This window comes from Homo sapiens, chromosome 2 (genome assembly GCF_000001405.40).
Source record: "Homo sapiens chromosome 2, GRCh38.p14 Primary Assembly".
Taxonomy (NCBI): Eukaryota; Metazoa; Chordata; class Mammalia; order Primates; family Hominidae; genus Homo; species Homo sapiens.
The window spans coordinates 215,344,051-215,362,407 of NC_000002.12; the positions used below are offsets into that span (position 1 = coordinate 215,344,051).

At 40.1% G+C, this 18,357-nt stretch overlaps 2 protein-coding genes across 24 annotated transcripts in view; one reads left to right on the top strand and one right to left on the bottom strand.

Moving 5' to 3' along the window:
* Window positions 1–18,357, top strand: part of ATIC (5-aminoimidazole-4-carboxamide ribonucleotide formyltransferase/IMP cyclohydrolase) — a 56,534-nt gene that overhangs the window by 31,992 nt on the left and 6,185 nt on the right. For 3 of the 7 annotated variants that reach the window (XR_007075418.1, XM_047444489.1, XM_047444491.1), the window contains exons 13-16: window positions 729–821; window positions 2,709–2,891; window positions 5,044–5,199; window positions 7,904–8,031. Coding sequence is in view for 5 of the 7 variants with exons in the window: in XM_047444489.1 (XP_047300445.1) it covers window positions 729–821; window positions 2,709–2,891; window positions 5,044–5,199; window positions 7,904–8,031 (560 nt within the window). In the remaining 2 variants the exon portion in view is untranslated. Of the gene's footprint in view, window positions 1–728; window positions 822–2,708; window positions 2,892–5,043; window positions 5,200–5,485; window positions 5,715–7,903; window positions 8,032–15,237; window positions 16,855–18,357 lie in introns of those variants that run through there. The other 4 variants (XR_007075419.1, XM_047444490.1, XM_017004187.3 and 1 more) reach the window with 4 other exon arrangements.
* Window positions 16,815–18,357, bottom strand: part of FN1 (fibronectin 1) — a 75,204-nt gene continuing 73,661 nt past the window's right edge. For all 17 annotated transcript variants that reach the window (NM_212474.3, NM_001306132.2, NM_001365523.2 and 14 more), the window contains 2 exons: window positions 17,919–18,029; window positions 16,815–17,576 (listed from right to left, as the gene is read on the bottom strand). In NM_212474.3, coding sequence (NP_997639.2) covers window positions 17,505–17,576; window positions 17,919–18,029 — 183 coding nt within the window. In that variant the 3' untranslated portion in view covers window positions 16,815–17,504. The remainder of the gene's footprint in view (window positions 17,577–17,918; window positions 18,030–18,357) is intronic.

The following is an 18,357-nucleotide window of genomic DNA, read 5'->3' on the forward strand; positions in this document are numbered from 1 at the left end:
CATAACGATTTGTGATGTCTATGAAACAATTCTCCGCATTGGTTCTGAACGTAAATTTTACCATGTCTCCAGATATTTAAAAGTACTCTGGTCAAGAAAATATTGTTTGTCAGTTTTGGAATGGATATGGTAGTTCTTACCTCATGTGATATAAAAAGGCTTAATCCACAATTGCTACAAAATAACATGAGTTTGTGTCTATGGATGCATTGTGCTAAGTTCCACCCCAAATGTGTTAAATATTTAAGTAAATCATGGTAGTGTGTAGGAGAACAGTTAATTTCCCTCTGTCATTTGAGTGGTATAACTATGTTGTAGGTCTTTTACATTAAATAGAACTAAGAAACTTAAAGTTGGCCAGGTGTGGTGGCTCACACCTGTTGTAATCCTGGCACTCTGGGAGGCTGAGGCACGTAGATGACTTGAGCTCAGGAGTTCGAGACCAGCCTGGCCAACATGGTGAAACCCCATCTCTACTAAAAATACAAAAATTAGCCAGGCATGGTGGTGCATGCGCCTGTAATTGAAGTGTGAGAATCTCTTGCACCCGGGAGGTGGAGGTTACAGTGAGCCGAGATTGTGCCGTTGGAGATTGTCCCATTGTGCCTGGGAGACAGAGTGAGACTCTGACTCAAAAAAACCACAAAAAATAATATTTAAAAAAAGAAGCTTAAAGTTAAATGAGTTTAAAAGGCCCCATGCAATTTACCATTGTGTATGTGTTTCAGTTGCCAGAGTCTGCCCTCCGAGACCTCATCGTAGCCACCATTGCTGTCAAGTACACTCAGTCTAACTCTGTGTGCTACGCCAAGAACGGGCAGGTAAGTGGGCTGTTGGACTCGCCTTCGGGGGACTGTTGTTTTACGAAATGATATTTAAACATCCGTCTGCCTTAGATATTGGACAGCTTGAAAGGGAATATTTGCCAAATGTTTGTCTTTTGTGTTTGTCAGTGTTTCCTCAGTACCCTGGTGGGCTGTTAAAACTAATGATGATCAGAAAATATCTTTGGAACCAGGTACTCAAAGTAGTTGTGCTGCTTCTTGCCTTGAATAGGTTGGCACATTTTGGATTAGTGAGACTCTAATAGCTGTTACAAAACTGGATTATTTCCTTTCCTTTTCCCCCATTGGTATTATTTCCAGGGAAGAGGAGGTAAGTTACGGTACTGCCACCCACCAGCCTATATTTTTGCAGCCTGCAGGGTATTTTCACATTATTTCTTATGTTGTCTTATCAAGAATCTGCTGAGTAGAAAGACTGCTAGACTAGGAGTTAACTTCATCTTTAAAAAGTTAGGTTCATTGAGGCATAATTTGTATACAGTAGAATTCACCTTTTTAAAGTACAGTTTGACCAGTTTTCACAAATTTCACAGTATGTGACCGCTGCCACAATTAAATACCAAACATTTCTCACTGTGTGACGTTAAGCAAGATATTACACTTCTTTCCTAGTGTCCCGAGCCTCAGAATACAAGATGGAGCTGGTTCATCTCTGAGGTCTCTGCTAGCCTTTTCTTCACCTGGTGTCCTGAGCTTATCTCTTGGCATTTGTTAAATTATTTGGCCCACAAGTGACAGGGAGGTGGGTGGATATGAATTAGCCTATGGCCTGGAAGACCCCAGATTGCCAGTCTCTGTAGTAACAAACTCCTGGGAGATTGTGTCTACTGGTGTCAGGTTCTAAGAAGTTCTGTAAGTCCATGTAGAATGAGTGCTTCATTCCTGATGTTGAGGAGGAGGCGGCTGCCCAGGTATTTGTGGTCTCTTTTATTCTCTTGTAGCTGTGGGCAGGGTTGCCAGCAGCTGTGCTCAGAAAGAGATGGACTGTTGGGCAGACAGCTTAGGGGCTGTTCATTATAGGAACTAAAACCAGAAAACACACCTGTGCATTTAAGTCCTTGTTGCTTAGAATTCAACCCATAGAAATAGAGGAAAGAAGGAAGAACATTTGTACCTGGCGGAATTGTTTCTACTTTTAGCTACCCATGTCAGATCCTTATCTCAATTTCTGAGAGTTGATATTTTAACTGTAATTTATACACTGGGGCAAACAAAAGACTTTCAAGTAACCATAGTTATTTTTGTGGTCATTAGTTTTATTTATTTATTTATTTATTTTTTATAGAGACAGGGTCTTGCTCTGTTGCCCAGGCCAGAGTACAGTGACATGATCATAGCTCATTGTAGCCTTCGACTCCTGGCCTCAAGCGGTCCTACCACTTCAGCCTCCTGAGTAGCTGGGACTGCAGGTGTGCGCCACTACCCCTAGCTATTTTTTAATTCTTATTTTTTGTAGAGATGAGATGTTGCCATCTTGCCCAGGCTGGTCTCCTGAGCTCAAGCAATCCTTCTGTCCTAACCTCACAAAGTGCTGGGATTACAGGCATGAGCCAGTGCACCCAGCATTGGTCATTTATTTTAACTTTTTTTTTTTTTTGACCTCAAACCATCAATTTTATTGAATTGTAGATTATTAATAGTCATATGTCACATATCACTGAAGAGGTATAAATAGTAGTTATAAACAAACCTCTTACTCCACCCCTTTTAATGACTTAAAAATTATTTATATTTCTCTTATTTTGGCCTGATATGTTCTTCCACAAAACTAATAAATAGGTTTTGGAGAATGTGCACAAAAGATCCTTTTGAGAAGAAAGTGTCTTTGGAAGAGGTGTTCACTTTAATGTCTGTGTTCCTCAGGTTATCGGCATTGGAGCAGGACAGCAGTCTCGTATACACTGCACTCGCCTTGCAGGAGATAAGGCAAACTATTGGTGGCTTAGACACCATCCACAAGTGCTTTCGATGAAGTTTAAAACAGGAGTGAAGAGAGCAGAAATCTCCAATGCCATCGATCAATATGTGACTGGAACCATTGGCGAGGTGAAAGACTTGGCATTGGGTTCTCGGCTGTGTTAATATTCAGTTCAACCCTTTATGTGTAACAGATTTTAACTTCATCACCACACAGAGAAAAAGATACTTTCATTGAAATTCTATGTTGTCTAAAATTGATCATTGAAACTTCTTACACATTTCTCATGTTCTTCTGTCTCATGTAACTTTCTTCATTGTTTTTGACCCCTTTCTGAAACCACAGTCCTCTGTCTTTTTAAATTGCAGCCTTGGTGTAGGTTTGTATATTTGTACTTCCCCTGTTGATTATAAGCTTTTGATGACAAGGACTGCTTTTCACCTACGTCGAGGTGCCTGCCACCACGTCATGCATGGTGCTTGCTGTCCGATGGGTCTGTATTCAACATTAAATACAAATTGCCTGACGGCAGGTAACCCTGGGGTCTTCTCCCACCACATTTTCTACATGTGCCATTAATAACTTGATACATTTTGTTACATTTCATGTTCTTCTGTTTGAAGAAGGTATGTGGGAACATTACAATCGCAAACGTTAGGTAGGTAGCCCGCCAGAAGAAAAGATCTAGCCCAGTTTCTGGACATATTGCGTGCCTAACAAAATGCTGGATGGAAAACAGAAGGCTGCTAATCAAATACTAGATGGTCTTCTGAAGAGCCAATTGACTACCCTCAGTTTTTTATTCAGGAGCAGGAATCAACATAAGTGTCATTGAAGAGTGAGGCTGCAGAATGTAACTGAAGTCCTTAAGATATCTTTTTTTTTTCAACTTTGATACTTGGATTTTTCTGTTTGATATTACCAGTCAACCCCTGCTACTAGTCCTGAAAGAGTCCTGGAAGTGAACAAGAATAAAAGTATGTCAAAGCTAAAACATGACCCAAGATAGAAGCACCTTGTAAAATATGATTAACTGTCTGTGCCACTATGACACAATACTGCAGGCTGGGTAACTTATAAACCATAGACATTTATTTTTCATAGTTCTGGAGGCTGTGAAGTCCCAGATCAAGGTACTGGTGGGCTGAGAGTCTGGGGAGGCCTACCCTCTGCTTCCCAGATGGCACAGCCCTCTCTGGAAAGGACAAACACTGTGTCCTTACTTCACAGAAGGGGCATACTTCCCCTGAAGCCCTTTTATAAGTCTGTAATCCATTCATGAGGGCCCCACCCTCATTGCCCAATAACTTTCTAAAGGCCTTATACTTCTTAATACTGTTGCATTGGGGATTAAGTTTCAACATGAATTTTGGAGTGGATACACACACTCAAACCATAGCAAATATTATGAATTGTGTTTTGTCTACAACTGCCTTTACATTTAGAATAATTTTTGTATAAATGTAGTTAAAGAACTACTCATCTCTTTCCTAGATTGGATATAGAGGGTTTTTTTGAAAACCCTTGGAACACAATTTTTATTTGCTTTCTTTGCTACAGTAGTACCAAAGCAGTAGATTTAAATTAGACGGTAGTCTAATAGACATAAAGTAGTAGATACGAAGTAGATTTAAATTAGAGATTTTAAAACAGTGTATTTTTATGTAAGTAGCTTAGCCAAAAATAAAAAAAATTACATATGTACTTGGAATAAACTGATTTGGAAAGTAAAATGGTATTATCTTTATTTGGTAAACTTAGAATCACTTTTTTTCCTTAATGAAAATATTTCTAAAAGCATCAAAGAGATTCTAGATATGTGAACTTCCATGTAAATAATGGTCATTATTTACAATTAAGAAATCCTGGCCGGGCGCGGTGGCTCATGCCTATAATCCCAGCACTTTGGGAGGCCGAGGTGAGTGGATCATGAGGTCAAGAGATTGAGACCCTCCTGGCCAACATGGTGAAACTCTGTCTCCAAAAATACAAAAATTAGCTGGGTGTGGTGGTGTGCACTTGTGGTCCCAGGTACTTGGGAGGCTGAGGCAGGAGAATTGCTTGAACCTGGGAGGTGGAGGTTGCGGTGAGCCGAGATCGCACCACTGCACTCCAGCCTGGTGATAGTGCAAAACTCCGTCTAAAAAAAAAAAAATAATAATAATAATAAAAACAAGTCCTAAGAAAAATGCCCAGGTGCTTTCTGGCATGGTGATTTGCACCACATAGAACTAAAGACGATGTCAGACCAAGCTTCTTCCTTTCTCTCTCCCCGCATAGGATGAAGATTTGATAAAGTGGAAGGCACTGTTTGAGGAAGTCCCTGAGTTACTCACTGAGGCAGAGAAGAAGGAATGGGTTGAGAAACTGACTGAAGTTTCTATCAGCTCTGATGCCTTCTTCCCTTTCCGAGATAACGTAGACAGAGCTAAAAGGGTAAGTATGGAATTGGGTGCATTTGCTTAGAGTTGAGCATTATGTAGAAACTGTTTCAGAAATCCTGCTTTTGATTTTTAAAAGGTGTGGCAAAGTGATACAGATCAGTAATATTCAGAGAACCATTTGACTTCTCCATTGGGTGGATGGAGAACCCAAATCCTGTTGTTATTTTGCCTTTTTGACTGAGTGTATCTTTGTTAGCATATGCTTTTTAGAGGGGGATTTTGAGTTTTGCAGGTTTTTACATAAAATCGCGTTTTGAAAATCAATATACTTCCCCCAGAGTGGTGTGGCGTACATTGCGGCTCCCTCCGGTTCTGCTGCTGACAAAGTTGTGATTGAGGCCTGCGACGAACTGGGAATCATCCTCGCTCATACGAACCTTCGGCTCTTCCACCACTGATTTTACCACACACTGTTTTTTGGCTTGCTTATGTGTAGGTGAACAGTCACGCCTGAAACTTTGAGGATAACTTTTTAAAAAAATAAAACAGTATCTCTTAATCACTGGATCCATAGTTTTTGGTAGTTGTGTTTTATGTTAAAGATGCAGGCTCTTTGAACTGACACATGACACATAACACATAAATGAGGAATTCCAGAGCACCCCTGCCTACCGGAGCTCAGCCCATCCCACAGCACTGCCCGTGTGAAACATAAACATTAGCAGGAACCAAACGAGCTGAGCAGCCAGAGGACATGGCACAAGTCACTGTGTACAGGCCACACTTAAGGACTGGGAGTTATACCCATCTTAAAGGTGGAGTATTGATGTAAATTACCTAGAATTCTTCTGCATGGGAGTTGTATATTAAAGGTCCATGTTGCCTCCTAGGGGAGTCTTCTCATGCCGTTTTTGTTTGTTTGTTTTTCATTTTTTTAATTTGTTATTTTGAGAGGGAGTCTCAAAAAAATAGCTCTGTCACTCAGGCTAGAGTCCGTGGCACCGTCTTGGCTCACTGCAACCTCCGCCTCCCGGGTTCAAGCGATTCTCCTGCCTCAGTCTCCTGAGTAGCTGGGACTACAGGCATGTGCCACCATGCCTGGCTAATTTTTGTATTTAGTAGAGACAGGGTTTCACCATGTTGGTCAGGCTGGTCTCGAACTCTTGACCTCATGATCCACCCGCCCTGGCCTCCCAAAGTGCTGGGATTACGGGCGTGAGCCACCGTGCCCGGCCCTCATGCCATTTATTTTTAATCACACTTCTGAGAAGCTTGGTTGTCTACTTTCCAAACAAACAGCAGATTGGCACCTGTGAACTGGAACCTTAGAGGGGATTGGTTTAAGTCTTGTTGACCCCCTCTATGGATAATCTGATGTATATTTTTCTCAGTGCTAAGTGAAATGTTTCCCAGAATTTCAGCAGCCCGAGATTCACCCTCTGGAGCTGCATAAAAATGTAGTCAATATTTGGTGCTCAGAAATTGTACCCAATATTCCAATTACAGGCTTAATCACTACAGTGGGCACAGTGGGAGGGCAGTGCCTTCCTTCATCAGGACAGACCTGTGCATCTGTGTGTCCTGCCTGTGTGCTCCTGACCATTCCCGTGCATTGCACCTGTGTTCAACTAAAACCCTTTGCCATTGTTCACCTTTACCAATGAGTCCTACCCTCTTCCCAAGTCTTTAACTTATCCCCTTGCTAAATAAAAATTTCTGAAGTTTTTTCTTAATGGTCATCTTTCTAAGTTATTTCTGGTTAAGCTAATCTTCCAGCCCTGGCCTAGGACCTGCCCACATTGAAACAAGGCTGACTTGTGTGATCAGTAAAATACTGCAGAAAAAATAAGACTTTTGAGGCTAGGTCCTAATACATTGCAACTTCAGCCTTAGTTTCTTGGATTACTTCCTCTGGGATAAGCCAAGACCACGTTGTAAGAGTTAAGCAGCCCTCCACAAGGAGAGACGCCATCTTGCTTACACTAGTTGCCAGCCACATGAGTGAGCCATCTCAGAGGTGGATCCTCCAGCTTCAGTCCCAGGCAACATCTGGCTTCAACCTCTTCAGAGACCTGAGCCAGAACTGCCCAAAAGAGCTCTTGAATTCCTGACCCACAGATACAGAGAGATGCATACTGTTGTTAAGCCACAAAGTTCTGGGGTAATTATGTAGCAGTAAATAGCTAATACAGATTTTGGCTTGTAAATTAAGTGTGTGTTGTCTTTTTCATGGTTCTTTGGCTTGACCAAAGGTTAACATTAAGGGTATGATAATGGGAACAGGCTGAGCACTGTGTCTCCTGTCTATAATCCCAGCACTTTGGGAGGATTGCTTGAGGCCAGGAGTTCAAGACCAGCCTGGGCAACATAGCGACATCCTCATCTCTAAAAAAAGAGAAAATTTTAATTAGCTGGGCATGGTGGCTCCTGTTTGTAGTATTCTTCACATAGATGAAGAATAAATAAGTGGAGAATATGCAACTCCCATGCAGAAGAATTCTAGGTAATTTACATCAATACTCTACTGAGGGGTATAACTCCCAGTCCTTAAGTGTGGCCTGTACACAGTGACTTGCTTTCAAAGAGGAGAGTATAGAAATGGGAATAAAATAGTAACTACAGTGGAGAAAACTGACACTTTCTCAGCCAGATGATCAAGGTCAACGTCAATAGTGTCATGTTGCTAGGAAATACCTCAAAATAGGAGAATAGCACTTTACCTTTTTGGTCTTCTTTCCAAAACCCTGTACTCTCAGCTTAATCATGAGAAAAACATCAGATATAACCTAGCCGAAGGACTTTACAAAATACCTTCCTACTGTCAAGATCATCAAAAAGAGAAGCATGAGAAACTTTCATGCCTAGAAGGGCCTAAGGAGATGTGGTGAGTAAATGCAGTGTGGTGTCCTGGATAGCATCCTGGAACAAAAAAAGGACATTAGGTAAAAACTAAGAAAATCTAAAGTGTTTAGTTAATATGTATCAATATTGGTTCACTAATTGTAATAAATGTACCATGCTAATGTAAAATACTAATAAAAGGGGAAATTAGGTGTGATGTATCCTCACAATTTTTTCTATAAATCTAAAACTCAGAAAATAGGCCGGGCATGGTGGTTCACACCTGTAATCCCAGCACTTTGGGAGGCCGAGGTGGGTGGATCACCTGAGGTCAGGAGTTCGAGACCAGCCTGGCCAACATAGTGAAACCCCGTCTCTACTAAAATTACAAAAATTAGCCAGGTGTGGTGGTGTCTGCCTGTAATTCCACCTACTTGGGAGGCTGAGGCAGGAGAATTGCTTGAACCTGGGAGGCAGAGCTTGCAGTGAGCTGAGATCACTCCACTGCACTTCAGCCTGGGCAACAGAGCAAGACTCCATCTCAAGAAAAAAAAAAAATTAAACTATTAGAAAATAAAAAGCCTATTTTAAAAAGTATATAACCACATTCAAGTATCATACTAAAAGGATAAGTCATTTTGAATATCAAATACCCAGTCACCTTTAGATCTCTCCCAATGGCTAATTTTTTTTTTCTTTCAGTTTTTTGATTGTGCAACCCAAGCCTGGTACATCATTGCATTTGATTGGCATGTCTCAAGTATCTTCAACACCTGGTTTCTCCTCTTTAGATTTTTTTCTTGCAGTCGATTGACTGAAGATTTTTGGTCTCATAGTTCCCACGTGCTGGGCTGTGCCCTTGCATTCCTGTGATGTCGTTTAATTTGTGCCTCTGCTCCTTTCTTACACATTGATAGCCGTAGTTATGTAAATTTTTTTAGTTTGATTTGTTGAGAATTTAGAAAAAGGTTTTGAGACTTCCCTCCATGAGGATGAGTTTTCCAATTTCTTCCTGCAGGTTTATAAATGTTCACTTCCTATATATTTGAGGTTAAAAACACGGACCATGTTTAAAGTTATTATTGCTTTTGGTTTTGAGTTTTCTTTAATGCATTTTGTGAACCTTTCCCTTTGCGCTCAGCCTATTTGTATTCAATTATTGATACATTTGAGGCCTATTTTTACTATCCTGTAAAGTTTGACCCACTTTTATTTCCTTCCTTGACATTGTTTTGAATGTACGGTTGTATTTCCCCCCTAATAAGCTAAAAGCTTTAACTCCCAGTTTCTCCCCCATCACCCCTACCTACCCCACCCCATTCCAAACTCCTGTTGATTCCTGGACTTGGGGTCACATTTTCACTTAGCCTATTTTTTAAGACCAGACTTTCTAAGGTTTGTGTTTACCTTCACTTCATCTATCTATTGCAGTGCCTCCAGTTTCTCCTCTTGTGTTAACTGTGTGCAGTGTCTGTGTGATGAAGCTTCTGAGATCTTACATGTCTAAGGTTTTGTTGTTGTTGTTGTTGTTTTGTTTTTTGAGACAGATTTTCATTCATGTGGCCCAGGCTGGAGTGCAATGGCATGCTCTCAGCTCACTGCAACCTCCACCTCCCAGGTTCAATTGATTCTCCTGCCTCAACCTCTTGAGTAGCTGGGATTATAGGTGCACGCCACCACACCCAGCTAATTTTTGTACTTTTAGTAGAGATGGGGTTTCAGAATGTTAGCCAGGCTGGTCTCGAACTCCTGACCTCAAGTGATCTGCCCGCCTCGGCCTTCCAAAGTGCTGGGATTACAGGCATGAGCCACTGCACCTGGCCAACTAAGGATATTTTTATCATGCTTGTATATTTGAATTCATTTTGGCTATGCTTACAATTCTGGGTTTTAAATTCTTTAATACTTTGAAAACACTGTTTGGTTTTTTATTGCATCCATTGTTTATTTAAAATCTGATGTCAATCTGGTTCTTGTTCCTTGTCAGGAAACTTTTTTTTTGAGACAGAGTCGTTCCCTGTTGCCGATGCCCAGGCTGGAGTGCAGTGGTGTGATCTCCACTCACCACAGCCTCTGCCTCCATGGTTCAAGCGATTCTCATGCCTCAGCCTCCCGAGTAGCTGGGGACCACAGGTGTGCACCACCACACCCGGCCAATTTTTGTATTTTTAGTAGAGATGAGGGTTTCACCATGTTGTCCAGGCTGGTCTTGAACTCCTGGCCTCAGGTGATTTACCCGCCTCAGCCTCCCAAAGTGCTGGGATTACAGGTGTGAGCCACCATGCCTTCTCAGGAAACTAATTTTTTCCTGGGTATTTTCAAGCTTCTATAATGTGTTTAGGTGTGGGTGTTATTTGTATTTCCCTTTGTTGGCACTCTGGGTTTTTCATTCTAGGAAATTTATTTCTGTTCTTTGTGCTAATATTTCCTCTCTCCCATTTCTTCTGTTTTTTATCCAAATGTTAGCATTTCTAAGCAATTCCTATATCTCTTAGCCTTTCTTTTATATTTTATATTTCATTTTCTTTATTCGTCCCTCCAGGAGATTTCTTTAGTCTGGTCTTCTAATTTTCTCATGAATTCCTACAATGTATCCATTCTGCTGTGTGTCCTGTCTATTGAGCCCTTTATTTCAGGAGTTTTATTTTTCCCTTCAAATATTTCTGGTTTTCTTTTCCAATTGTTGGTATCATCTTTCTAGCTTTGTTTTACTATTTCTACTTCTGTTAGGATCTGTAATCTAGTATGTTACTATTCTTTTAAAGTCTCTTTACTCAAGTGTTGTGGTATGTTGGCCTGTGAGCTCATTTTCCCTGACTAACATTGGCTACCCAGCAGCGTGTGCTTGAGACAGCCCAGCTGATGCACTCCTCGCCAGCCCCAAGGGGTTCATGAAGGACAGGATTGAATGAACCCCGGGGAGGAGCACCCAAGCAATAAGAGCAACCATTCTTCACTCTGGAAAACGACTCAGTTTAGGGCTGTCAACAGCTCCTTTCTCATTTTACTGTCTCACTTCCCTGTGTTATGCCAAAAAAAGCAGTGTCCTGCCTTAAGCCAAAGTGCCACCCCTCACATGCAAGCTTACTCCTGGGTTCCTCATATTTTGCTCTGTGAGGTGGTGTTTTCCTTTATATGTACTCAAGTTAATCTTGGTGGAGGTAGCCAGTAACCAAGGAAGTTGAGCACTTTGGGAGGGTCTGGCACTGGAACCCCATTAACATATATATGTCTAGTATAATTCAATCATTCGAAACGTCAAGAGTGGAGTTTCACTGGTGTTTAAGTGAAATGCATAATGATCTTATGTCTGTTGTTTCCAGCAGAAGGACAGAAGATCCATAATGTAACAACGTCCTGACCAATACTGAGTGTATTTCTATTGGGGGATCCCCTGGGCACAGGGAGAAAACAGTCCATGAAAGGGATCCTCCATTCTTCCTCCCGTTGCCTTGCCCTTTGACACCTGCTTCTCTCCAGGCCACCTTTCTAAAGCCCAGCCTATGTCCCTTCCTCAGAGCACAGAACCCTGCAGGTCTTTAAGCTCGCAGTGCTTTCCATTCATGGACATTTTTATACCTTATTTTTGCCAAACACTGTGCCAGGCACAAATTTATCTTTAAAAGAAATTGTAATGAAGTAGGCATATAGAAAAGTGCATGAAACTTTTACCATTTAAAGTATAATTTTTATGCAAACACCTGTGTCACCACCAACCAGGTCAAGAAGGAGATTTTGCTAGAAGGCCCCCACATTCCTGTGCTTGATTACGGCTCCATCTTTCCCTCGAGGAAATTGTCTTTGTGCCTCTTAGGATAATCAGTACCTTGTTTTGCCAGTCAGTAGGTGGGCAATCTTGGGCACATAGCTTAACCCTCTTGGAGTTTGATTCTTCTGTAAAATGGGGATGGATTCACTCCTCCAAAAGGCTGAATAGCTTCTGGCTGAAAGCACATATTCTGGTGCTAGTCTATCAGGTTCGAGTCCCAGTTCTCCTACTTACAAGCTATGTGATGTTTAGTGATTCACATTGCCTTTCCCGCACTTTCAATTTGTAGAATGAGATGAGAACAATACTGACGTCTTAGAGTTGCTCTGAAGAGCAAATGAGACAAAATATTGCGGGCACTTAAAATACCACCTGAGTCACGATAAATACTGTTTCAAAAAGATGCTGATTATTCTTTTCATAATGCTTTTGTGTATATGGAAGCATAGGAACTAGTGGAAGATAACCTATGGAAATTACTATGAAAAATGATGTCTATTTATGGATAATTTTGTTTCAGGTTCCAAATTGGTAGCCACAAAGTTTCTGAGTTCCTTCAGCCTTCATCTACTCTTACCCCACATCTCTTCCTCATGAAGGAGCAAAAATTAGATTTTCTATAACTGAAGTGGCATTTTTTAAGATAAAATTTATGTAACGTAAAATTCACCATCTTAACCATTTTAAAGCGTATTGTTCAGCAGTTTTCAGTATATTCACACAATTGTGCAACAATCACCATTATCTAGTTCCATAAAATTTTCATCACCCCAAAAGTTAACTCTTAGCCATCACTGTCCATTTCCCCTTCGCCCCAGCCCCTGGCAACCATAAATCTACCTTTTGTTTCTATGGATTTGCCCATTCTGGACATTTTGCCTAAATTGGATCACATAATATGTGCTCTTTCGTGTCTGGCTTCAACTTAGCATAATATTTTAAAGGTTTATATTGCAGCATGTACATTCCTTTTATGGTCAGATATTTCATTATATGGATATACCACATTTTGTTGATCCATTCATTAGTCGATGGACATTGGGTTGTTTCCGTGTTTGGCTACTATGAATGATGCTGCTATGAACATCTGTGTGCAAGTTTTTGTGTGAACATATGTTTTCTGTTCTCTCGAGTATATATCTAGGAATGGAACTGTGAAGTCGTATGGTAACTGTTTAACGTTTTGAAGAGCTGCCAGGCTGTTTCCCACAGCAGCCGCACCGTTTTACATTTCCACCAGCGATGAATGAGGGTTCCAGTTGCTCCACCATCGCCGTACATTTTTGAGTCAAAAATAGCTTTCCAGCACTTGGCTCAGCATCTTACATCTGAAGCTGAATTACAGAGATGGGCATGTTTCATTGTAAAGTCTTGTCCAGCAGTCTCCTGGCAAAGGCAGTGCTTCATTCTAGAATGAAATGGCCATTTACAAAGTACCAAGTTGCAAAGGGCCCAATGGGAGACTCCTTGGCCTTTGATGTATCTTGCCTAAGGGAGCCTGCTCTGCTGGGTAGCTTCAGGGCACTTGACGCCAGCCCCAGTCCATCATTCTGGGCTGGCTGCCTCGTACAGCTTCAACCAATGCTAGTTTCAATCCTTTGGGGGCTCCACATGAGCTGTTTTAGAGATAAATTTGGCTCCTGAGATTGTTAAAACCTGTATGTCTCTAAAGAGTAAGTAAAAAGGAATTCAAGGAAATGTAAAACATGCTTTAATATCTCATACCTGACTCTACTGAGGAATGTTAAAAAAGGAATTTCCCATTTGGGACTTTCGGCTGAAGCCCTGTTTCTCTTGCTCTTTTATTACATCTTTTCTTCATTTGTAATTTATATAGGTTTCTGTTTGCAATTCAAGTTGAATCTTTTATTTTAATGAGGATATGGAGTGAGACGATGTGATAATGAAAACAACGTGCATTTCAAGTATTTTGAAAAAACTTCCTTAGTTTCTGCAAGGTCATCTTTGTGTTTCTTCTGCTTTATCAGCCTTAATGGTAATCTTTAAATGTTTCCAAACATGGGAAGTCCCAACAGCGGTCTTTTTTTTTTTTTCTTAAGAGTTGAATTGTCTCCCTTGAAAATGGGATTTTTTAATTGTAACCTGCCACATTCCCTATCACAGTAATGGGAACTTACTAAATAGGAAGCAATTTGAGCACTTAAATGTGCTGATGTGATGTTTCTTAATCACTTTAATGAGTTTCATACCACTAGAAATGGAATAGAAGTTTCAATGGAAATATAATTAAATAGAAAAGTCATTTCCTGTACTTGTAATTTCCCCCTGATCATTTCTTTATTCACCTCCATAGAAAGGGTGCCCTACAGGTGTATAGTGATGTTATTATACAGACTTATTTGCATAATTCACTTAGATTATTAGAGCTGAAAACAATATAAAATGTAACATTTTATTACAAATCAAGTGTAGCAAGGCAATGTAAAACTTTAAAACGATGATATTTCTTTTTAAAGTCTGATTAACATTTACTAGTTTTACCTAATTTTTCTTGCATTGTTGATTTCTTGCCTAAATATAGATTTTTCTTTTAGTAATGCCTTTTCAATCTTGCCCGCTTAAAACAATTCTCGGGGGAAGCAATAACCTGAATCAATAAAAACGGCAAAAGATCTTTGGAAATAGTTGGTTCTCCTGTTTGAGATCAGGAGTAAACAAACTGTTTAGCTGGGAGCTTATCAAGCCATGCTAAAAGTGTCAGCTGACACAAAGTAAGACACATTAGATTGGGGTTATCATACAATGGGGTTTCCCCAAGACAAAACTCTATACTATGCTATTTGCTGAGAAATGATCAGTACAAAAGAAAGTTTCATCATTCTTGCATTGTGATGCTAAAAGAAAAGGCCTTGTAAATGTGTTTAATTTGCTATTCGTTTACTTCATAAATTTAATGTATCACTTTGGAGAATCCAACAGACATTTTGGAAAAGGTGGCATTTTTCCTGACCTTAAGTGGGGAACTTGAGGTTTTTTACATTTCAACATAAAAGTAAAGGGGCTTGCTATCCATTTAGTTAATACAGTCCAACTGTATTTGCCTAAACTGCATTTTTTAAATTTTTTATTTTTGAGACGAAGTCTCACTCTGTCGCCCATGCTGGAGTGCAATAGCACAATCTTGACTCGCTGCAACCTCCGCCTCCTGGGTTCAAACGATTCTCCTGTCTCAGTCTCCCGAGTTATGGGGACCACAGGCATGTGCCACCATGCCTGGCTAATTGTTTTATTTTTTGTAGAGACAGGGGTCTCGCTATGTTACCCAGACTGGCCTTGAACTCCCGAGCTCAAGCAACCCTCCCACCTCGGCGCCTCAAAGTACTGGGATTACAGGTGTGAACCACCCTTCCCGGCCCTTACACTGCATTTTAGGGTAAATATTTTTAGGTTTGTAGTTAGGCAAGTGGTTTGAAGCATCATCAGTCTCAACCTAAAGCTGCTCTTTCCTTATGTTTTTAGATATCAAGGCTTTAAGCAAGATTCAGATGAAGGGCCTGCTTTACCAGCTCACCTATGAATATGGAAGCATCAGCTTACTTTTTGCAGCACATGTGTCTCAGGGGGTTGTCCCTTCCCACAGTGTGTAGATTGGCATCGAGATGACGTTCTCTCTCCAGGGTGCAGTGATGACCGACATATGTGAGACAGTCGTTTAATATCACCTTTATTTTGTACTTTCTGTGATTTTTAAAAAACATACAGAGCAGCTCTCTTGGTGACTATTGGGCTGATAAAGCTTAAAGATCAGTAATAAATAGAAGTCCAGGGGCTGGGTCTGTATTTCGCTAAGGAAACCTCATCTGAGCTTCATGCCCTGTAAAATTAAGCTCTAAAACCTCCCCTAAATGAGATAGCTAAATGTCAAAGCATTTTATAAACTGTAAATCAATTCAAATGGGAGTTAGTATTTTTTTTTTTCAAATGAACATGAGGAAGTATCTTTCTGTATTTAGTTTTAATATTCTTTGCCAGGTGTTTATTGAAATACCTTCTTTCATTGTACATTAGTATATTTAAAAAGTGCTTTGCATGTCTTGTTTATTATGAACTACTAATTTTTTACTAATAATTATTTCCATTTCCACTATTTACTATTCTGAATGTCACATTTATTTATTTATGTTTTTTGGGATGGAGTCTTGCTCTGTCCCCCATGCTGGAGTTCAATGGCACAATCTCAGCTCACTGCAACCTCCGCCTTCTGGGTTCAAGCCATTCTCCTACCTCAGCCTTCTGAGTAGCCGGGACCAAAGACGCCCACTGCCATGCCTGGTAACATTTGTATTTTTAATAGAGACAAGGTTTCACCATGTTGGCCAGGCTGGTCTCAAACTCCTGACCTCAGGTGATCCACCTGCCTCAGCCTCCCAAAGTGCTGGGATTAGAGGTGTGAGCCACTGCGCCTGGCCTGAATGTCAAATTTAATCCCAAAGTTTGTTTCCTCAATGTTAAATTGAAAAAGAAATGACCTTTACAGATCAGGAGTAAACAAACTGTTTAGCTGGGAGTTTATCAAGCCATGCCAAAAGTGTCAGCTGACCCAAAGTAAGACATGTTAGATGGGGGTTATCATACCATGGGGTTTCCCTAAGATAAAACTCCTCCATATTATACTATTCAAATACTTTTAATATCTTAGTCATTTTTATTTCCCTTGCAGGCAATCTCTTTGAACAGAGGTTTATTCAATGAAGGAAAGGTGGAGGGAAGAAGGGAAGAATTACAATGGTTAGAAAAGAGCAACTAAAGATTATTTCTATTATACTTCTGAACGGTAAACTAGCAATTTTAATAAATATTGGGGTCCACTTAAATCTATTAAAGCAGAAAGTGTAAAGCTATCTCCATTAGTGAAGAGATGAAGTGACAAAAACCAATCAGTTTTTGTAGCAACTGATTTAGAAAATCTTGTACTGAAATCAACAATTAGACTTGCACATCATAGATTTTCAAATGTTTGCTGAATTGAAAAAGAATATTCACAGGAATTATTTCCCCCGAAGGTGTCTTATATCAAATAGATGAACTTCAAGTTGTGGAATGTAAATCTTTTATTAAAACAGTTGTCTTTCCACAGTAGTAAAGCTTTGGCACATACAGTATAAAAAATAATCACCCACCATAATTATACCAAATTCCTCTTATCAACTGCATACTAAGTGTTTTCAATACAATTTTTTCCGTATAAAAATACTGGGAAAAATTGATAAATAACAGGTAAGAGAAAGATATTTCTAGGCAATTACTAGGATCATTTGGAAAAAGTGAGTACTGTGGATATTTAAAATATCACAGTAACAAGATCATGCTTGTTCCTACAGTATTGCGGGCCAGACACTTAAGTGAAAGCAGAAGTGTTTGGGTGACTTTCCTACTTAAAATTTTGGTCATATCATTTCAAAACATTTGCATCTTGGTTGGCTGCATATGCTTTCCTATTGATCCCAAACCAAATCTTAGAATCACTTCATTTAAAATACTGAGCGGTATTGAATACTTCGAAGCAGAACAGGCAATGTGCAGCCCTCATTTATGAGAAAACCCTCAGGAAACTCCCAGGGTGATGCTTGGAGAAGCTGTGAGTTGAGCTGAAGCTGGAGAACTTCCTCCAGAGCAAAGGGCTTAAGAAAGAAAGAAGAACTCTAAGCTGGGTCTGCTAACATCACTCCAGTTTAGATGGATCTTGGCAGAGAGACATGCTTGTTCCTCTGGATTGGAAAGATGATTTACTCTCGGGAATCTTCTCTGTCAGCCTGTACATCTAAAGGCATGAAGCACTCAATTGGGCAATTAACATTCTGTTAAAAAGGAAGAAGGAAAAAAAAATTAGTGGCAAATACTGTAAAGTGTACAGAAAAAAAAATGCGGGGAGGTGGGGACTCATGACAGCTGCTTATAGATAGGATAATATTTCTTCCTAGTTTCAAGAACCTAGCAGCATACTGGGCAATAGGAGATGTTCAAGAGTTACATAAATTATAACTTAAACTATATTATGGAATACAGTGTTTCACTTAAGTCATTTATGAGTTGTTTTTTTTTTTAATTAATTAAAACACTTGGTTCATTCTGAAGAAAGATACCTGTAGAAAGAGACTGTCTAGTATGAGGGAACACACTTGTGCTGCTAATGCACTTACAGTGTTTGTTCTCTGATGGTATCTCTGAGAATACTGGTTGTAGGACTGGCCAGTAGTGCCTTCGGGACTGGGTTCACCCCCAGGTCTGCGGCAGTTGTCACAGCGCCAGCCCTGAGAGAGTAGAGGCATGAAGTCAAATGGGGTTTATGATAACCTGAGGACATCGTAATTTAGTGTTTGAGTTAAAGAAAAATGTCACATCATATGCACTGGCAAAATATAAGCAGTTAATCACTAAGCAAGCTTTGATGATGATTTCATGCATTTATAACTCTTAATACATTTTGGCTTATTACCATATCTTATACCTACATCTGTCTCTCTATGTTGTTTCTTTCTCCTGAAATGTCTCTTCTCTTCCTATTCAAACCTTGCCCATCTGCTGAGGCTCATTCCAATCCCAACTTCCTCAACAAGTTCTCTGCACTAGATGATAGAA